This window comes from Homo sapiens, chromosome 3 (assembly GCF_000001405.40).
Source record: "Homo sapiens chromosome 3, GRCh38.p14 Primary Assembly".
In the NCBI taxonomy this organism is placed as follows: domain Eukaryota; kingdom Metazoa; phylum Chordata; class Mammalia; order Primates; family Hominidae; genus Homo; species Homo sapiens.
Window position 1 is genome coordinate 149,737,055 of NC_000003.12, and position 22,549 is coordinate 149,759,603.

The 22,549-nt window shown below is 38.4% G+C and overlaps 1 protein-coding gene across 3 annotated transcripts, besides 1 other annotated feature; it reads right to left on the bottom strand.

Moving 5' to 3' along the window:
* Positions 1-1,417: 1,417 nt before the first annotated feature.
* Positions 1,418-15,435, bottom strand: COMMD2 (COMM domain containing 2). Of its 3 annotated transcripts, none has more exons than NR_135149.2 (5): positions 15,324-15,435; positions 15,156-15,233; positions 14,269-14,431; positions 13,624-13,797; positions 1,418-4,664 (listed from the first exon to the last, which is right to left on the bottom strand). NR_135149.2 is itself a non-coding variant. In NM_016094.4 (5 exons), exons 1-5 carry the CDS (start codon positions 15,388-15,390, stop codon positions 4,467-4,469), a joined length of 600 nt encoding a protein of 199 aa, NP_057178.2. In that variant the 5' UTR covers positions 15,391-15,435; the 3' UTR covers positions 1,418-4,466. The 3 variants fall into 3 exon arrangements, 2 of the variants coding, with proteins under 2 accessions (NP_057178.2, XP_047304200.1); NM_016094.4 differs by having other exon boundaries at positions 14,349-14,431; XM_047448244.1 differs by lacking the exon at positions 1,418-4,664 and adding an exon at positions 13,108-13,328 and having other exon boundaries at positions 14,349-14,431.
* Positions 15,591-15,660: a silencer, noted in NCBI's record as "silent region_14807". NCBI's record gives its function as "represses an Ori minimal core promoter by ATAC-STARR-seq in GM12878 lymphoblastoid cells {active_cell/tissue: GM12878}" and the evidence as "EXISTENCE:reporter gene assay evidence [ECO:0000049][PMID:35858748]".

The window sequence follows — 22,549 nt, forward strand, 5'->3', positions numbered from 1 at the left end:
TGCAACAGAGGATATGATAACTGCAAGAGAAGAAAATGAAAAGTGTAGTCTTTGCAACTAAAAAATGTCAACTTAGGCTCAAGCACAATAAAAAAACACAGTCTCTCACTCTGGTGGTCATATAATTGGTAATATTTCTAATGATAACAAACATAATTTACATTATAATTATAAAAAGTTCATCTTATTCAAAAGTTGCTTGGGTTTAGAATGGCAACAACTCAAGTAAAAGCCCAGTTTTAGAGCACATTAACATAGATATTTGTATTATTGATACTGCCTTTTAACCCACTAAGGATATGAAATTACTTTTTCTATATTCGCCCATTATGGTATGTCAAAACTTTTGGACTCATGGCTGTTGTGCATACTTAAGTTATAGATGGAGTTCCTGGGTAGAGAGGAGCTGTAAAAATCTAGAACAAAGAGCCATTACTACTCTGTGATCAAATCATTAAATACACATTTTAGTGCCATATAGTATTTTTTCTCATCTTTATATAATTTTTTGAAAGCTGAAAAATAATGGGCTTATTCTGCTTTTATAATTCAAACATTACTTTCAAAATGTATAAAGCTTACTGAACTAACCACGTTAATGGTGGAGTTAGGTTCATTTGTTCTAAGAAAAGTATTTGAGTTTGAATATAACAGTCATGATGGTTTTAAAAGTGAACATATTTAAGTTAGAGGCAATGTAGTATCATAACATTTCCACCAAAATATTTTCTACTGTTGGTGGAAGAAAGATGTGAGAGTAATCTATGATTATGGAAACTCTGGAAAAGAAGATACTTAATCAAATTCATATAAGTACAGAGAAGACTGAGTAAGTTATAGCAGGAGGACTTTAATATAGCAGCTGACAGAACTTCCTGATCATAAGGGATGTGAAAAACTTCAAAGAAATACTGTTTCCATTTGAGATGAAAAACAACACAAACAATTCTCCATTTAGAAGTAATATTACCTAGAAAAGGAGAAACGGCTTAATGTCTTAAGATTCCCATGTTTTTTTCACTAACATGGAGAAAAAAATGACAGAAAAAGGAAACTCTAGAGCGCTCTATATATAAAACCCTCAGCCTGTTTACCTGAGTCCTTTGGGGACTGAGTAGTTTTGAACAGCTGAGTTTTCTGGTAAACTATGTGTTTATCATTCTAAGAATTAAGTTTGGATAAAAATATCTACTAAAAATATATTTAAATTCCCTGATCTTTTTTCTTTCCTTTAATATTTTTTCCTAAATGTTATGAAAGTTATTCAAACTTACTATAGAAATTAAAAAAGAAAAGAAACAGCCATAATTCCGCCACCCAGAAACAACCAGTTGGCATTTTTTTCCCAGTTTCTTTAACAGAGTATACAGGACATAATTCAAGGCTGTAAAATAATGAGATCCTCAGTCTACAAAACTATTTCAATAATGGTAAACATTTATTGAGTTCTTTGTAAAGCCTGGTACTATGTTAAACATTCTATATACATGGTCTCATATAGTCCTTACGAGTCAATGTGGTAGGTAATCCTATATTCCTATTTTAGAGATGAACAAAAAAAAAGGCTTTGAGAATTTATCAAGGACCCATAATAATCCACAGAACCTAAATTCAAATCCTTTTGTCCAACTCCGAAGACTTATCTCTTAACCACTTCATAAGATTAAAACGCTGAAGGGGCACATACTGTTATGAATTTTAATGGCTCCTACACATGCATCCTTTATATATACCCTTCATGATTTTTCAAACCATGTCAGATTCTCATTTTTCAATTCTCAAGATACAGCATCTTCTTATAGCATCTTCACCACCTTTCCCGTTTACTGTCTTAAATGTGCCCAATCTCGGAAATATCAATAACAAAACAAGCTTGTTGACATTTTGTGAAACATTTAAGGAGACTTCCAAGGAATGTAACATATGTAGACTTTGTGACACATATATTGGCATGTGGTCACAGCTCTGTTCTGAGATGAGATGTTACTATTTTGGCTTTGAGACATGAAGGATATGACATTTAAGTCTAAACATGCACCAGCCAATCGTGAAAAGTCAGCATACTCATAATCCAAAAAGCTTCAATAGAAATTTAGATAGTTATAGAAGGTGCATTACTCAGAGTCAAGAAACCTGGGTCATACTGGAGAGAACAGTGACTACCTCTAAAGAAAATTATGTTCATATACAAGCTACAACAAATATCAAATGTTATATAAAACAAACAATGCAGGGGAATCCACAAGGATGTGGAATGTTTGAGCAAAAAAAAGGAAGAGGCTTATTCAATGGCTTGTACTAAAAGATAAGCCCCAGATTCTAAAAGAAGGTAGGCAAACTGCTCCCAACTCACCCTGGTCTCAAAAGGTGAAGAAGGTAGAACATCACAGAAGGAATAATGGAGTACAGTGAAAGGAGGCCAAGGCAGGTTGATAAAAATTAAAAAAGGATTAGCACATGCTTTCTTGTTTTAATTGGGGTAAGAACAGTGGACAAAGAGTTGGAGATAGGTTGTTCTGAGGAGACAAAGGGCTATTGTTTCATCTTGGCTGGGATCAGCCATGTTTACCTTCCATCGAAGGTGGACAAATAAAAACCCTTACAGAGGTATTTTTTATCATATGTTTTGCAGGCATGTTGCTTTTAAACCCAATGACATATGCTACTATTTCACGTAATAAAGTTTCTTTTTGTTTGTGAGGTTGTATATGAGAGCTTCATTAATCAAGTTGCCACTATAATTAAAAATTATTTCTGATTATAGTTTGCTGACATCTAATAATATAGTTGTTTCACAACGGCAGAATATATACCTACAGGAAAAGGGTGGCCCAGATGCCTGCAGGGACCAATGGGTAACCATCTCAAGTATGTTTTTCTTCCACTAGCCTATTCCCTGCTAGGCTCTCTCTTCTCTAAAGAGATTGCAACATGGTATCACTCTGATATGAAAATCCCTAATTCTTACGAAGCAAAGTATTGACAAAGTCTAGAGCGCAGTTTAGAGTTTGATTGCTTCTACAGCCCTTTCTAGATTATTCCATGAAGACTCTCAGGATAAGGTCTTGGACACATAGTTAAGACTGAACCCTCATTTCCACCCTTCCATACAATTCTTCTCCCTAAGCTGACCTCAGTATCTCTGCACTCTCTCAGGCTGACCTGACAAATCAGCACCTGAGTTTTTCAGACCAAAAGCTTTTGGTTCCCTACTAAAAAATAAAACAAAACATAAATCAAGTTATGTTTTGAGAAGGGATAGTTGCCTATAATGTAATAAACATGGCCTTCCTTCCCTCATCATAGTTTATTCAAATTATAAAAAGTGACTATAATTTGTATCCAGGACAATCAAGAATTGATTATATTTCTCTGCATCCATTATTTGTAAATGTAAATGACAGAGTGTCTCCTAGATGCTTTGGGTATGGTGGAAGAATTAGTCCTTGATAAAATACAATATACGACCACACAAATTTGAGTACTATTTAAGCCAATTAATTAACCATGATCACTCAAACTTAGGCAATATGATACTTATCATCTTCATATACAAAGAAAAATGAATAAACTGCCTATAACAATATAGCATTAAAAATCCTATTGATGTTCAATATTCTGTGGCTATTAACACTGTGGGGTGTTTTTAAAAGTCAAAAATACTGAACTGTTTAGAAAATTCTGCATAGTAGTAGTATTACATTGTGAATTTTATTTTCAAATTTGATCAATAAAGATGAAAATAATAAAATTAAGCAGTCAAAAGAAGTAGCAAAAACAAGATAGTCATTCATATATACAGAACATATAGATTCATTTCTAGTTGATTCAATCCTATTTATGTATTTAAAATACAAAATAATGGCCATCTGGCTAGTTCCAACGGTAGAGCATGAGACTCTTAAAATACAAAATACATCTTAATGTGTCAAGAAGACCACAGTTAGCACCAGGAAAGGAACTTTACTTTAGCTTCTGATTACTTTTTTATTTTTATTTTTACTTTATTATTATTATTATTATTTTTGAGATGGAGTCTCACTCTGTCACCCAGGCTGGAGTGCAGTGGCACAATCTCAGCTCACTGCAACCTCCACCTCCCAGGTTCAAGCGATTCTCCTGCCTCAGCCTCCTGAGTAGCTGGGACTCTGATAGATGCGTGCCACCACACCTGGCTAATTTTTTATATTTTTAGTAGAGATGGGGTTTCACCATGTTAGCCAGGAAGGTCTCAATCTCCTGACCTCATGATTTGCCCACCTCGGCCTCCCAAAGTGCTGGGATAACTGGCATGAGCCACTGCACCCAGCTTAGCTTCTGATTATGACCTCAGTATCTTGGAATAGATACTGAGGAATACTATGTATTTATCATCATGAATTAATAAAAAATTAATTTTGAAAAGTAATTGCTGTATATCATCAATTCATAAGTGATTCAAATGAATTAAAACCTTAAAACTGGTACTACTTGATGTTGCGAACAACTCTCCTACAGTGATTTGTCTTCATCTCTTCCAATGCTTGTTCCAGTTGTTGAACCAAATGGAGCAGGGTGGCTGGGTCTGTCTGCAGAACTTTGGTGTTGTGATCTCCATTTTGATTAAGGTGTAGCTTTATAGTCACTGCTGGTTTAATCTGTTGCCTGAGACTTCTACTTGCAAGCTTGATTTTAAATGAAATAAGAGCACAGTAACTATTTAATAACCATGCTGAATACATAATATTTATAATTATCTTAAACCATACACAAAAATTAAGTTTCAGATGAATTACAGACTTCAAAATGAAAAGTAAACTTTAAAACCTTTGAAAAGAAAATAATGAGAATATATACCAATTTTATGGTATAGAAGATTTCTTAAACATGATATAAAAGGCTCAAACCATAAAGACAAAACTGGTAAAATTTAACTACATTAAAACTCAATTTTCTTCAAAGGATACCTAAAGATGGTGAAAAAACAAGTCATAAACCGAGAGAAGGGATTTTGCAACAGACATATAACCAAAAAAAGATTAGTATCCAGAATGTGTGAACTCCTCTGATTTAATAAGAAAAAAACCTCAAAACCCAAGATAAAAATATACAGAAGGTCTAAATAAGCATTTTACAGAAGACAAATGAATATAGAAAAATATGTTCAACTTTATTAAACATCAGGATAATAGCCAGTAAAACTACATGAAATACCATTTTACAAATATCAGACTAGCAAAAATTAAAAACCTGTTCATACCAAGCATTGCAAGTGGCAGTAATGGGAACTCTCACCCACTCCTGGTAAGCGATGAGAAAATCACTTTGGAAAACAATGTGCATTACCAGCAACTCCACCACTAGGCATATACCTTAACCTCTTATATACATTTATTCATGATAGTATGTTTCCAAGAACCAAAAATTAGAAATACATCAAATATTCATTAACAGAATAGATAAACCAAGAATAATCACACAATGAATTGCTTACTAAATGGCAGAGAAAAGAAATGAACTACAGCAACATGGGTTATCATAGAAGAAATGAAAATGTTGAAAAAAAGCAAGTCACAGAATATGTTCAAGTTTAAAAAATATACAGTTTGGTGACAAAATTTATGTTTAAAAAAACTATAAAGAAAAGATTAGGGGCTAGGCACGGTGGCTCACGCCTGTAATCTCAGCACTTTTGGGGGCTGAGATGGGTGGATCACAAGGTCAGGAGCTTGAGACCAGCCCGGCCAACATAGTGAAACCCTGTCTCTACTAAAAATACAAAAATTAGCTGGCATGGTGGCACGCGCCTGTAGTCCCAGCTACTTGGGAGGCTGAGGCAGGAAAACTGCTTGAACCTGGGAGGCAGAAGTTGTGGTGAGCCAAGATCGTGCCATTGCACTCCAGCCTGGGCAACAGAGTGAGACTCTATCTCAAAAAAAAAAAAAAAAGAAAAAGAAAAAGAAAAAGAAAAGATTCACAGAAAATTCAGGATAACGGTTTCCTTCAGGTGGCTGGGAGATGGTTACAATTGGGTACAGGTTCTTCAAAAGTACTGGTTTTATTTGTTAAGCTTGGTGGTGGGTGTACTGGTATTTGTTTTATCATTATTCTTTAAACTGGGTATCTATAACCTTTCATTTGTATAATATGTTCCAAAATTTAAAAAATAAGTAATACTGACATATTTTTAAAAGAAGAAAACACAAAACTATAAACAATGACCAACTTCAAGGTCCTTTCAATCTTTAGATTCTCCATTAAAAGGAACCAGGACTATCCAAAGCAATAGCTGACTTGAAGTCTAGGAGAGAAACTGTACAAGATGAGCCTGAAACATCTTGTTATAGGAGAAAGCAAAAAAGTTATCAAAAATAGTGGAGTCATGTCAAGAAGACTAGATTCCAACTTGAAGGGATTTTCAAGTGAGTAACAAATCTAAACCTGAGATTTCAGGATTAATTTAATTCTGTAAAATAGAATATTCTGACTAATAACTTCTTCCAAATAATTATAGGTAACCTGGGCTTCCAAAAGAACCCAAGATACTGATCCAAGGCTGAAATTTAATGTCCCCAACTAATTTGCAAACAATAAGTCAATCCCTTTGGGTGAGCTGGTCCCCAAACATAAAATAGGTACTTGCAGGCTAAAGTACCAGTTTAAGATCATCTCTGTAGTACAAATAACTATAGATGACACATATGCAAATTATATATATGATAATTGAAAACAGTACTTATTTATTCAATTATGCTCTGTTTATATTTGTTTTTCCTCTACACTGACAGAGAGAGACTGCACCGACAGACAGGGACTGAGTGTATTTGCTGTGTAATTAAGCCATGACTTTTTTGTTGAAAGACTTAAAGCCACTATCCTCCAATTTTTAGACAACGTATCTAAATTAAATACCTATACAAATATCTATACTATTCTTTAACAGTTCTAGAAAAGAGATTACATAACATCCCTAACAAACATCTAGTAAGACATTTTTCTCAGAAAGAAGTTGAATGACAGTACTACAGGACAAAGAACAGTAGCCCACAAAGTTCTTGATATGGACTTATTTTTTATTGGGGATGAGATTCTGTCCTCCTCCCTGTAAATATAACAACAATAAAAGCAACTTTAAAATAAAATGTCTTATGTCAATGCAAATTAGAAAAAAGAAAAAGAAAAAAATGTTTACTCTGAAGGGCCATATCTCAAGGCACTGAAAAGGGTATTCTGGCAAAAAACATCAAGTAGGAAACAGGATACATAAATTATGTTTCATGTAGCTACAGTTCCTAAAAGAATTCAGTTCTCTATTTAGCCTCAGAGCAAACAATATGTGGGCAAGACAGGAAAAGAATGCTTTGAAGTAGTTGTAAATGGACCAGTCCTAAAAGGAACATCCTCCTGCATCAGTCTGATGGTGGTACATTCAGTTACTAATGCTATTAACAAGGACATCAATTGTGTTGGCAATTTATTAAGTCTGGGGAAATGTTCCTACTAGACACTAAGCTATGATGATTAATTTGATTCCCATAAACAACTGCATAATAATTAGGTGGTAATTGTCCATCACTACCAGTCTCCATGAGACAAGTCAGTTACTTAAACATGAAAGGCGCCATATGTAGTTACAAGTTTCCTAGCCATTTAGCTAGTCTTATCTGATATGCATTTCTCTATGAGCAGAAGAATCCACTCCAGTTAAAATCCTATGCAATGGTTTCAGCAAATAAGCTGAGGAACTCAATGAGCTCTGAGTAGCTTTTCTAGCCCTTAAATGCACTTCTCCATAAGTGGCAACATTCATTCAGTATACCCTCAACCTTAAACTGTACTAGTCCTAGCAATAGCGCAGTGATTCAAACTCACTTCAGTGGGTAAATGAGCCCTCGAGTTTAATTTTAGAAAATTCAACTTCTTAATTTTAACTTTCAAAAATGTCTTCATAATGGACAAACTCAAAGCAAATCAATAAAGCCAAAAAAAGAACTGTTAAAGCCTACTGGACCCCAAAAGTCAGGGGACATTCGCACACAAGAGAGACGTAAAGATCTACAAGATAAATTACCTCTGAGCCACATACATGACCATCCCCACATCTCCACCGGGTTATTATTAAAGGACCTAAGTATAAAGGCTTATCCACAGTCATTTCCCCAATGAACCCTACAAGACTTGCTGCTTATGATGTCCCCCAGACCATGAACTGTGTTTTGTTCTTTGCCGTATCTACAGCACCTGGCACATGTTAGGGGTACAAGAAATATATGATAAATAATTTAAGAAGTCACTTAACTCCCCCTGCCACCCACTCTTTCTGTTCAGCACTGATTCATGCCTATTATATGCCAGGTATTGTGCTGGGCACATGGTAATGAACAAGACACAATACTTGCCCTCCTGGAGCCTACAGTCTGGTTTATACCATATCCTGCGTTCATGCCTATTAAAACACTCATCACACTTGATTATAATTGCTGATTTCTAATTAAATTTTATTTTTTGGTCTCCCTCTTACTGTAAGACTGTGAGAACTTAAAGGCAGCACTGCTATGTCCACAAGGCCTAGCATGCACTAGATATTCAATAAATGGTTTGATAACTGAATAGATATAGAAACAAGGATGGATTAATGGGACATAAGAAATTATCTTTTTTATTGTTTATCTGCATGTACCTGAAGATGCTCATGACAATGGAATATTCTCTCTCTATGCCACCCACTCTATCCCAAATGTAAAATTTGAAGATACAGTAAGACAGGTACATCTTTCTTCTGTCCAAATCCTAAGCCTTTTGTCTTAACTCTTACTCTCCTGATGATCCCTTTATTCTTAAATGTTGCTCTTACTTTCAGTGACATTGTGTTGTGTTAGTGGTTGTTTTTCCTGAAACCACTCTTACTCTAATTACTGGCTTTTATTTCTATTAGCCATGACCAACCAATGAGATCCAGTTCAGATGTCAGAGAAATCATTCTCATTTGTGATTTGAACTAATCTGGCATCCAAGTGTTAGGCCCACATCCTCACCTACTGTGGAGATTGCAACTTATATAAGCTGTCATCACCTTAAATTCAATCTATCTTGAACTGATTAATGCCATGAGGGAGCATGGCTGTAGTGCTGCCTGACTTCTAATTTTTCAAAAATTGCTAAAAATTATAATTTTGGTGTGAAATTTCCTACTTTTTTTTTCAAACCATAGAAGGGAAGTGGTCAGACTGTGGATACCTTTTTAAGAAACTGACTTGCAGATGGACTAGATGAAGGGCAAGGAGAGGAGTCAAGGAAGAGGCCAAAAATACTTGGCCTGTGTGATTCAAAGAATGTACGTACTATCTGAGATGGGAGAGGCTATGGTAGGAGTAGTTTCAGTAGAGAGGGGGTGTATTAGTCCTTTCTCACACTGTTATGAAGAAATAACCGAGACTGGGTAATTTATAAAGAAAAGGCCGGGTACGGTGGCTTACGCCTGTAATCCCAGCACTTTGGGAGGCCAAGGCGGGCAGATCACAAGATCAGGAGATCGAGACCATTCTGGCTAACAGGGTGAAACCCTGTCTCTACTAAAAATACAAAAAAAAAAAAAAAAAATTAGCCAGGTGTGCTGGCACACGCCTGTAATCCCAGCTACTCAGGAGGCTGAGGCAGGAGAATGGCATGACCCTGGGAGGCGGAGCTTGCAGTGAGCCGAGATTGCACCACTGCACTCCAGCCTGGCTACACAGCGAGACTCTGTCTCAAAAAATAAAAAAATGAAAGAAAGAAAAGAAGTTTAATTGACTCACAGTTCCACATGGCTGGGGAGGCTTCAGGAAACTTAGAATCATGACAGAAGGCACCTCTTCACAGGGCGGCAGGAGAGAGAATGAACGCCAGATGAAGGAGGAAGCCCCTTATAAAACTATCAGATCTTGTGAGAACTCACTATCACAAGAACAGCATGGGGAAAACTGCTCCTATGACTCAATTATCTCCACCTGGTCCCACCCTTGACAAGAGGGATTATTACAATTCAAGATGAGATTTGGGTGGGGACATAGAACCAAACCGTATCAGTGGGTAAGAAAGGTGGGATTCAGTTTGGAACATATTGCCTTTGAATGCTTATCAAATTACCAAAGTGGAGATGTCAAATAGGCTTCCACTGTATGATTCTGAAGTTTAGAGGACAGTTCTAGGCTAAAGATATAAATTTGAGAATCCCAAGAATATGGGGATTATTTAAGACTTCAAATTGGATGAAACCAGCTTGAGAATGTAAGTGGAGAAGTTATGAAGACTCAGAACTGACCTTTGGGGCATCCCAATGTTTAAAGGGCAATTAGATAGAATCAGCAAAGGAGACTGAGAAAGAGGAGCCTGTGAAGTTGAATGAGAATCACAGGAAGTTATTTCCCAGAAGGCAACTAAAGAAAGTATTCCAAGTAGGAAGGCGTGACTGTGACAAATGCTGTCAATAAACAGAATGGCATAAAAACTAAAAAGCCATGACCTTGAGTAAGTTACGAGAGTAGAGTGAAGATTATAAAGCCTGATTAGGAAGAGTTTAAGAGATGACGGGAAGAGAGAATATACAAACAGAGAGACAACTCTTTCAAGAAGTCTTAGTATAGGCTGGGCGTGCTGGCTCATGCCTGTAATCCCAGCACTTGGGGAGGCTGAGGCAGGTGGATCACTTCAGGTCAGGAGTTCGAGACCAGCCTGGCCAACGTGGTGAAACCCTGTCTCTACTAAAAATACAAAAATTAGCTAGGCATGGTGGCACATGCCTGGAATCCCACTGTAATCCCAATTACTCAGGAGGCTGAGGCAGGAGAATCACTTGAACCCGGGAGGCGGAGCTTGCAGTAAGCTGAGATCGCGCCACTGCACTCCAGTCTGGGCGACTGAGCAAGACTCCATCTCAAAAAAAAAAAAAAAAAAAAAAAAGGCTTAGTATAGAAAGGAGCAAAATAATGGAGCAGCAGTAGGAGGAGTACATGGAGTCAAGACTGGGTTTCTGACTGTGCACAGAAGGGAATAATCGATTCAGTAGAGGCAAACAAAGTATGATGCAGGTAAGAGAGGGAATAATTGCTAGAACTATGTCCTCATGGGGGGAAATGGGGATGGATTGAGGTATACAAGGGAAAAGGCTGCCTGTAGATAAGAGCATGGGTACTTCATCAAGAGGAACAGGAGAGAAGACAAGTGGAGCAAGTGGGTCCTCATACAGGCTGAAAGATGTGGTTGACAGGTACATGTGGGAGTTCTTTCCGATTGCTTCTCTTTTCTTAGTCAAGCTGGAAGCAAGGTCAACACCTAAGCATGTGGAGCATAGAGATGTTGAGGCTTTGAAGAAAGAGAATATATAAGACATGCATGGTCCCTGCTATCCCAGTGTTTACAGTTTAGTAAAACAAAAAACAAAAAACCAAAAAACCAGCTACATATAAGTGAGATGACTTGCCAAAAGAGGAAGCACAGGTGCCACGAAAAGAAAACACAAATGCCACCAAAATTTAACTGTGTCTAGTGGCAGGAGGCATTTCTCCCAAAGGGAGACATCATTTAGAGCACAGATCAGCAAACCCTTTCTATAAAGAACGAGATAATATTTTAGGCTTTACAGACCATACAGTTTCTGGCACAACTACTCAACTCTGCCCTTGTACTTTGAAAGCAGCCATAAATAATACATAACAAAGGAGCGTGACTGTGTCCCAATAAAACTTTATTTACAGAAATAGGTAGCAAGCCAGATTTGGCCCACAGGCCATAGTTTTTTGAGCCCTGATTTAAACGGAGACTTACAAGGATAAGAAAGAGTCGAGTCAAGAGGTAGCAGCAAAGCAGAAAACGCATTTCACATAGAGGAAAAATAATGTGTAAGGCCTGATGCTCTTAATATTTTGAATTCCCACTTTCATTCTCTGCCCAAGGGTGCTAGACTAACTTTCCTACATGATTGTTTTTTAATGTTACTGTCTCTCTCTCTTTTTTTTTTTTTTGAGACGAAGTCTCCCTCTGTTGCCCAGGCTGGAGTGCAGTGGCACAATCTCGGCTCACTGCAACCTCGACCTCCCGGGTTCAAGCGATTCTCCTGCCTCAGCCTCCCAAGTAGCTGGGACTACAGGCATATGCCACCATGCCCAGCTAATTTTTGTATTTTTGGTAAAGACAGGTTGGCCAGGCCGGTCTCGAACTCCTGACCTCAAGCTATCCGCCTGCCTTGGCCTCTCAAAGTGCTGAGCCACCGTGCATGGCCTTAATGTTACTCCCCTATCCAAATATCTACAAGGGCTTCCTATTATCTGCTATTTCAGGTCTAAACCCCTCTAACCAAATTTCTATAACCTATCTGGACATTACCTCCATTTGAATCAGAAGAAGCCACTACAACAGTGGTTTCCAAACTGTATTGCACATTAGAATTACCTGGGTGAAAAGAAGCTTTAAAAAATCCTGATGCTCAGGCTGAACTCTATACCAATAAATCAGAATCTCTGGGTATAACACACAAACATCAGAATTTCTGTAAAGCTCCCCAGGTTATTCCAACATGAAGTCAAATTTGAGAACAAGTGCACTATAATACATATTCATATGCTCATTTGCATATCCATGTGGGCTTTTACAACATATTCTGCCTTCTCTACTAAGAATATTTACCCTAATTTTCTCTATTCATTCATCCTTCTGAAATTTCATTTCCTTTTGCTGGAAGCTTTCTTGGATCACGCCAGCACATACACACAACTACACGTGTTGTTGTTGTTGTTGTTGTTTTTGTTTTAAACAGTTGTCATCTTCATTCATATAATTATATTCTTTATTCCCCATCAAGAACCTTATTTTATAACTACCTTTAATTACTAGTTATTTTGAGAATGCCTAATATCCCTAACCAAGGTGATACGATCTTTTCCAGCTGAGAAAGTATCTTACACTTCTTTTGTGTCTCAAAGCATTTAGCACAGCTCTAATCAGCAAATAGATGGCATTCAATACACATCTACTAACTCATCTCTCTCTGCTTAATAAAGGATTATAAGCAATGGTCTGAATACACCCTTTCGTTTCTGTGACTTTAAAATCAACTGAAAGATGAATCTCACAAAAAGAATATTGTGAGAGAAGCCAGGTACAAAAGAATATTTACTGAGTCATTCCATATATACAAAGTTAAAAGACAGGTAAATGTAATTTGTGTTAAAAGTCAGGATGCTGGTTACCTTTAGAAAGGAGTGAAGGGGCAGTAATTAGGAGGCAAGGAGGATGCTTCTGGGGTGTGAGTCACAGTTAAATGCACCATGTGATAATTCATTGAGCGGTACATTGACCTGTGCACTTTTCTACATCTGTTAAATTTAAACAGAAAAGTTTTTAAACATCTAGGCACCAACCTAAAAAATCTATATAACCATCTCCTTTTCGAAAATAACCAATTTCTTACAAACTTTGCAAATTAAACTGATTTGAACACACTGAAAATAAAAGAAAATGAATGATTTGTGAAATGGCTTAAAAATGAACATTAAAAAAACAAAGTTTCAAACCGCATCTTAGTTAAGGTGGTAAAGAATACAATAAACAGGACACAAACCTAAAATAATTCTTATATTCTATGTTAAGTTAATTTTAAAAATGCTATACCTGTACATCTAGTCGCCATTCAAGGTTATGATAACTGGGAAGGCTTGGTGCCAATTCACTCAGAATCGTTCTGATCTCTTTTCTGTTGTCCAGATAAAGCTGAAGCAACAATTTGTTTAATTCTTCAGAGAATCCCAGAACAAAAACAGAGTCTTGGAAATCCAGTTCAGAAATCTAAGTGAATTGAGTTTAAAAGAACATCAAAATTTATCTTTGTCTAGCTAAAATAATTGAAATACACAAAAGAATATGATATCCTCTAATTTATTCTGTCTAGTAAAAGAAACAGCATTCCTTAACCACTGACCACCATTCCAAAATCTGTGTTACCAATACATAAAAGTACTTTACTAAAGTATAAAATGGAAAAAATTGTTAAGATGCCCAGTTTCCCTTCCTGTCCTTCATCAAGCCAGATACTGCTGATACGCAAACAAAATACTGATACAGTCTCCCTCCTCTTATGTATCTTCTTAAGATACATATATGGTTTAACAACATGCAGAATTAGAGGTACTTCTATACTAGCTATTTATACTAGCAAGAGGTATTCATATCAGCAGATGATATGATTTTTATTTTTTAGGTATGTCTTCAAAAAATCAATTATAAACCATTAACAACATTATTAAAACACACAGGTACCTGCCAGGACTATGATGTAGAGTACACCAGACCGTTCTTAAGAATCCAGCCAACACAAAACAGTCCAGAAAATCCCTTACCATGAGCTTTGAGCTCTCAGTGAGGAGATACGTTAATCCTTCCACACCATGCTGGACAGTGTCACTACTCACATTGAGTTTTCCTGAGAAAGAAAAGTAAAAACGAGCAAATAAATTACTACTGTAGTATTTATCTTGTTCATATTTGTATTTAAAAATAAACACTATTCATTATTACATGTTTTCAAACACTGCATGAAAAACAGTAAGTTGGCCAGAGGCTCCTGCTCCTTGTCATTCCACTCCCAGCCAAATGCCTTTGGTATTTCCCACCAAGTAACCTTAACAAAATGCAGAACTGTGGAGACTAGTATCAGGTGCGTAGCCCTTCTCTTGAATACGTAGCTCCTTCAAGTCTGGCAGAAGAGGAACTCGACAGGGATTGACTTAATCCCAGAGACTGCCTCTTACCCAGGGGTAAAACAACACTTTTTTTTTTTTTTTTAGCAAAAGCGGATATCTGAACAACTAATAATGATAACCAAATACTTGCAATTTACAGTTGACCCAGCTATTCCACAGACTTTGGTATATTTATACAAAACACTTTTCAGTATTTCTGAAAGTAAGGTGGTATTATGTACATTTTACCATGAGAAAACTGATTTAATAGAAGCTTTAACAATCTCACAGCTACTTAAGGGACGGGCAGGATTTGCACCCTGACTGAAGAGCTCTGCTGGTTTTATTCTACTACAATCGGAACAAGACCCTAGGACTCGCAATAATCCGTTTCTCTCCCGGGAGACAGGGAATGGCTCGCAACCGCCCTAGAAGCCTGCGGAGCCTTCCCCTTTCCCTTCTTACTGGCGGCGCCTTCGTAGATTTTTGGGTTTGCGCCGCGTCTCAGGAATTCCACAGCAATCCGCCCAAACTCGGCGACCACTGCAATGAAAGTCAGAAGGCTGTTGAGTGCCAGGCGCTGCCTTTGACCTCCTCCCCAGCCCACAGAACACCGCCCCCACGCCCGCTGACCCGCGCTGTCCACTTGAGGCAGGAAGGCCAGGTGTTCCTTATGCTCCTCGGACAATTCCAGCAGCATCTTCACTGTCCTACGATTTCACCCGGCAGCGCCGACCCCGCCTTCGCCACTTCCGGCGCCCGTGTCCCGGCGCCTAGAGGCTCCGGCGTCGCAGCGTCCGGAGCTTTGGGTTCCGGCCTACGAACTAACGCGTTACACTCGGACGTTCCCTGCAGCGCAGGCTGAGGTCAGAACATTGAAATCATCCCGCAAAGATGCAGTGAGCGCCTGCTGGGTGCAAGGTGCTAGGCTCTATGGGAGATGAAAAGGTGTTTCAAATCCGACACGCCCCCTCGTGGAGCATACATTAATAATATCAATAGTTCACATTTGTTAAGCACTAACCGTGTCAGGAAGTGTTCTTACATTTATTAAATACATTTGGAGTTCAGAAGAACCCTATGAGGTAGGTTCCATTATAATTTCCATTAGAGATAAGGAAACTGATAGACAAGTCCAGCAACTGACACTTTTATAAAGCTAATAGTTTCCAGAGCTTCTATGTTATCTTAAATGTATCTCAGTTAATATCCTCAACAAACATGGCTTTGTTTTTACAGATAAGACACAAAGCTCCAGAGATTATGTGACAAAGCCTGTGACAGAGTTAGATGGAGAGGGTTGGATCCCTCACTTACCTGCTGCAAAGCCCATCCTTCTACATAACAGCCTGAAAGCTGAAAGCTTCTGACAAGTTTTATGAGTGATTATAAATTAGGATAAAGATAATGATGACAATGACCGATGCTTACAGGATTCAGAGCAATGTTTTTGTTTGTTTGTTTTGTTTTGTTTTGTTTTTTACATGGAGTCTCGCTCTGTCGCCCGGCTCACTGCAACCTCTGCCTCCCGGGTTCAAGCGATTCTCCTGCCTCAGCCTCCCGAGTAGCTGGTATTACAAGCGCCCACCACCATGCCTGGCTAATGTTTGTATTTTTAGTAGAGACGGGTTTTCACCATGTTGGCCAGGCTGGTCTTGAACTCCTGACCTCAAGTCATCCAGCCAACTTGGCCTCCCAAAGTGCTGGGATTACAAGCATGAACCACCACACCTGGCCCAGAGCAATGCCTTTTAAAAAGTATTTAGCGCCTGTGATAATTTAGTTCCTTTTCCAACTCTCTTCTCACCTGCTGTGGTTCAAATATCAGAGATGATAAAGTTGCTAATTGATAGGAATATGATTCTTCAAATCTTAACCCCTTGAAAATGGAGGGTGTGGAGGAAGAGAGGGGAAGGGAAGAAGACTCTTCATATCTGTCTTTTCTATCTAAGGCTTGAGACAACTCTATATTCTGAGTCTCCCAGGCAGACTAAAAATTGGAAGAGTTTTTCAATTCACTTCTCTGTGTCTACTTTGTCCTTCACATCTGACTGAAATTGTTTCTTCCACTGGGACACAGAAAGACAGGTCCTTGAACTTATTAGTTAGTTCTTGAAGTAGCATTTGCAGAGAGAACACAACTTTTACTTAGACTGTGAATTGCAGATTAGCAAAAATTGCATCATTTCCTGAAGTTGCCTTTATTCACACATTATTGAGAAAACATCCATTATTAAAGAATAATTTTCAGAAAAGGTAAAATCATGATTCTTCTACAAGTGTACAATGAACACATGTCAAAAAATGTATTGAACTAGTTAATTAATGAGAGAATTACAGCATTCTGTAATTAATGAGAGATTACAGTAAAAACCAGTTTCAACTGATTCAAAAGAGGTATTCAAGAACTGTACATATATAGGGAGTAGGAATGCTGAAATGAATTTGCAAATAGACACAATATTATGCCAATATGAAATGGCCTTTCTTGTCTGTAATCTCAGGGAATGAAGTGAGGACAGGCGAGGTGAAGGTGAGACTAGGGAGTAGCACAATAGGCTGTCTAAAAAAGGTGGTCAAGGAACCAAGTTAGGCCAGGTATGGTGGCTGATGCCTGTAAACCCAGCACTTTGGAAGGCCAAGGCGGGAGGATCACTTGAGGCCAGAAATTCAAGTCTAGCCTGACCAACATGGTAAAACCCCATCTCTACTAAAAATACAAAAATTAGCAAAGCTTGGTGGCATGTACCTGTGGTCCCAGCTACTTGGTAGCCCAAGGCATGAAAATTGCTTGAACCTGCGAGGCAGAGGTTGCAGTGAGCAAGATTTGAGTCACTGCACTCCAGCCTGGGTGACAGAGTCAGACACTGTCAAAAAAAAAAAAAAGAAAGAAACCAAGTTATATCCAAGAAAAACCAGCCTGGGAGTTAAAACACCCCAGGATAATTTATAGAGTGACTTCTGTTGCCATAAGTGATATAATTGTTTAGAAAAAATTACCTGAGTGAAAATTCAAAACTCTAGATTCCAGATCTGGCTCTGACACTACCTGTATGACTTCTAATAAGTTGTTTTTATGTTATAACCATAGCCTCTTCGTCTGTAAAACTGGCATTTTAATACTGCCCTTCTGTGCCATGCAGGGCTGTTATGATGCTCAGATGAACTAATAAATTCACATTAAAAATTGATTTTGATGATCAAATGAAACAATAAATTAGAATTAAGCAAACAGCAGCATTTACATTTTATAGGAGCAGATTTTATGCTCCTATAAATTCACAAATAATCATCTTAAAAGCCATTCATTTAATTTAACAAACTTTATTAAGCAATTCCTTAAAGGTTCAAAGATATGCTATGCTTTGGCAATTTGTAGATGAATAAAACAATGTCCTTGCCCTCTAGGAGGTGTCAGAAAAGTGAGGGAGAAAGATAATGAAGTAATTTCCATACAGTGTGATGAGTAGCAATACTTGGAGAATGAACAAAATGAGAAGGAAGCATAGGGAATGTACATTAACTCTAATTTAAAAGAATCAGGCTGAGAATAAATGTCCCAGCATATCCTGTGCATGTTAATACTAATGCTCTACAATTAGATTTACATTATAAATATATACAGTCTTAATGTCACTTCATGCTATCTTACTTCCAGGGTGAATGTGAACAAATAATAAATACTCAGTATTTTTTTCAATTGATGCTGGTAGAGAACAAGGCTTCATATCAATCATCCCCTCACATTCTCTCTGCATCTTTCTATCCCCCTCCAGCTCATACGTCTTTCTTTTCTCTTATATTTTCCCATTTATTTTCTCCTTCTTAGGTATTCTAGCCCAGAATCCTTGCACAGGATATTTCCTTAGCTGTGTTTCAATGACACATAAAATATTATCACCCCCTGCAAGGAATTACAGCTCAATTCACTATACTGTCAAGAGGACAATAACGTGGTGACAAGCCTCACTCACACCAGCCACCTTCTCATGACTCTAAAGCTGGCACCAAATGCATGAATTAGCTCCTGACATTTTAAAAAATTATTTTAATTCATTAAAAAAATGTATTATAAATGCAAACAGAAAAGGGTACAGATTTTTTAAATACTCATTGTTGAATCTTCTCAAATTAAACACACCTATTACTCCAGAACAAGAAATAGAATGTTACAACACCCCAGAATTTCTGCTGTGCCTCCTGCCAGTCACTATCATCTCTTGTTTTCTCTATAGTGAACTAATACCTATACACATGCTGCCTTACAACATCCCTGTAGAATCATCTATGTGTGTGAATGCGTGTGTGAGTGTCTGCACGTGCATGTGTGTGTGTTTGTATTAACCTTTGTGCCCCAACCCAGCAATATCTAATTGGGAACTCAAAGGCATTTTTTAGAATGAGCCTTAGATTTTAGGCGCCTCTGACTATTTTACCAAAATCTATCTTATAATCATCTTAGTAAATTGCCTCTAAAATATAAAATATTTAGAAAAAAACTTTAACAGACGATTTGCAAGACCTATACACTAAAATTTACAAAACTTTGCTGAGAGGAATTAAGACTTGAATAAATGGAAATGTATACCACCGATACAGAAATATACGTCATGGATTATAAGATTTAATATTATTAAAATGTCAGTTGTGCCCTATCAGAAGAATCCCAACAGGGTTTTTTTTTGTTTTTGTTTTTTGTTTTTTGTTTTTTTTTTTAGCAGTTGCAAGATTTAGTAGAGTGAAAACAGAGCTCCCATACAAAGGGAGGGGACCCAAAGAGGGTAGCCATTGCCAGCTCGAATGTCTGGGTTTATATCCTGATCATTGTCCCTCCCGTTGTGCTCTTAGGCAATAGATGATTGGCTATTTCTTTACCTCCTGTTTTTGCCTAATTAGTATTTTAGTGAGCTCTCTTTACTATCTGACTGGTCAGGTGTGAGCTAAGTTGCAAGCCCCGTGTTTAAAGGTGGAAGTGGTCACCTTCCCAGCTAGGCTTAGGGATTCGTAGTTGGCCTAGGAAATCCAGCTAGTCCTGTCTCTTAGTCCCCCCTCTCAACAGGAAAACTCAAGTGCTGTTGGGGAGGTTGGCCAACGACCGCTCTAACTGCTTCCTGCTGAATTGGGGCATAGTAGGGGTTGTGCAGTTGAGATTTCCTTGGGAGGGTTGCCTTTGATGTCATTAACATTGGAGCACAGGCTAGCAGGCCAGTCCAGGGGTCTGCGGTAGATTTTAGTCATGGACTGCATCTGGGGCTCCATTTGAAGAACTATTTGTAGCTTTACAGCTTCAATTCTGGAAGAGACAAACTTAACAAGGAGGTTAAAGATACAGGGATTGAAATGTGTGGACTGCAGTGCACGGGATTATTTCTTTGGCACACTTCACAGGCCCTGACTATCTGCTTGATAGTTTTGAAAAGGCCTGGTCCCATAAATAATGATTTGGCCATCTGATGGGTGCTATCAATGCCTAAGTGAAAGGTTTGGTGAAGGGTTTTAAGTAATTTCCGTTGGCTAGCTGCAGGCTAAAGTATTTTCCCTTCTTCGGTGGCTAGCCATCCTGAGGGGAGGAAACTATGTGCTCTTGAGGTTCCCCATTCTATTTCTCCTGCTGAGTACTGGGGCTTGGTTTCCTGGAGGGTATTACCCCATACTAGGGGTCCTTCTATAAGCATTTTTAATGGAGGGTCCTGCCTTGCAGCTCTTTTGGCTTCAATATCCGCTTGGTGGTTCCATTCTGTTTCCCTTTCCTTTTCTTTCTGATGACCCTGGCAGTGTAAGACTGTCACCTCTTTAGGTTTCTGTACAGCCAATGATAATCTCTTAATGGCTTCCTGATGTTTGATAGGTGTTGCCTCAGAAGTTAGGAATTCCCTTTCTCTCCATATTGCTGCATGGGCATGGAGGACTAGGCAAGCCCCTAGTCTTAAGTGTCTGTATATATATTTACCCTTTTTTCTTCTCCTAATTCTAGTGCCCGAGTGAGGGCTATTAGTTCTGCCAGCTGAGCACTAGTTCCCGGAGTGAGGGGATTACTTTCAAGTATTCCATTATCACTGACCACTGCATACCCCACTTTTCAAAGTCCTTTTTCTACAAAGGAACTTCCATCAGTATACAAGTTGAGGTCGGGATCTGCCAAGGGAACCTCTAAAAGGTCCCCTTGAGCGGCATAGGTTTGAGCAATTACTTGTTGACAGTTATATTCTATCTTTTCTTCATTGTCTGGAAGAAATGTGGCTGGGTTAAGAGTTGCACAAGTGTGCAGTCGCAGCACTGGCCTTTCAAGTAATAGAGCCCGATATTTAAGCAAACAGTTGTCTGACAGCCACAAGTCTCCTTTAGCAGTGAGTATGCTGTTCACATCATGAGATGTCCACACAGTAAGATCTCTTCCCTGTATTATTTTAACTGCTTCAGATGCTAAGACTGCTACTGCCACCACTACCAGTAAACAATGAGGCCAACCCTTTGCCAGTGCATCAATTTCCTTACTCAGGTATGCCACAGGTTGCAGGCTTGTCCCTCGTACCTGTGTAAGGACTCCTAGAGCTATTCCTGTTTTTTCTGTGACATATAAAGAAAAGTCTTGCCCCGTTGGCAAGCTTAACATTGGGGATTGGGTTAGGGCCTTCTTTAGTGCCTGGAAAGCCACTTCTGCTTCAGGTGTCCATCTTACCAAACGGGTATTGGCTTTCTGAGTTTCCTTAATTAGTGTATATAACGGTCTGGCTATTTCGCCATACCTGGGAATCCATATTCGGCAGAAACCTGTTATGCCAAGGAACCCTCTTAGTTGCTTTAGGGTTTTGGGATGAGGATAAGCCAGTATAGGCTGGATATGTTCCTCACTGAGGGCCCTGGTACCTTTGGATAATTTTAGCCCTAAGTATTTAACCTGCTGTGAGCAGAGCTGAGCCTTTGGTTTGGAAATCTTGTAGCCACAGGTAGCGAGGAAATTTAAGAGTGCTTGGGTGGCTTGATGGCACAAGGTTTCTGAATGGGTGGCTAAAAGTAAATCATCCATGTACTGAAGGACAAGAGTGTCCAGGTATGAGAATTGGCTCAAGTCTTGGGCTAACCCAACAGGCTTTTAAAATAGAGAATGACAAGTTTATTTTAAATTTTATATGGAAATGCAAAGGACTAAAAATAGCCAAAACAAACTTGAAAAACAATAACAAAGTTGGAGGATACATATTACCTGATTTCAAGGCTAATTAAGACATAGTAATTAAGACAGTGTAGTATTAGTATAAGGACAAGTAAATAAATCAATGGAACAAAATAGAAAGTCTGGAAATAGATCTGTACCTATATTGCCAATTGATTTTCAGCAGAGATGCTAAGCAGAGATTCAGCAGAGATTTTCAGCAGAGATGCTAAGGTAATTCAGTGAGGAAAAGGAAAGTCTTTTCAAAAATTAATCCCAACCCTTACCACACATCATTCACACAAATTTGAGATAGATTATAAACCTAACATAAAATTATTGAACTTCTAGAAGAAAATATAAGAGAATATCTTCATTACATTTGAGTAGGCAGAGTTCTTTTTTTTAAGATAAGAGTCTCACTCTGTTGCCCAGGCTGGAGTGTAGGGGCACTATCTTGGGTCACTGCAACCTCTGCCTCCTGGTTCCAAGCGGTTCTCCTGCCTCAGCCTCCTGAGAAGCTGGGATTACAGGCATGCGCCACCATGCCTGGCTAATTTTTGTATTTTTAGTAGAGACAGGTTTTCATCATGTTGGCAGGCTGGTATCAAACTCCCGACCTCAAGTGATCCGCTCACCTCAGGCTTCCAAAGTGCTGGGATTACAGGCATAAGCTACCACATCAGGCCAGGCAGAGTTCTTACAG

Coding starts and splice junctions, on each gene's coding strand:
- COMMD2 (NM_016094.4), bottom strand. CDS start 15,390: ATGCTGCTGGAATTGTCCGAGGAGCATAAGGAACACCTGGCCTTCCTG. Junction 15,234..15,323: donor GCCTCAAGTGGACAGCGCGG/GTCAGCGGGCGT, acceptor CTTTCATTGCAG/TGGTCGCCGAGTTTGGGCGG. Junction 13,798..14,348: donor CTGAGAGCTCAAAGCTCATG/GTAAGGGATTTT, acceptor CAATTCACTTAG/ATTTCTGAACTGGATTTCCA.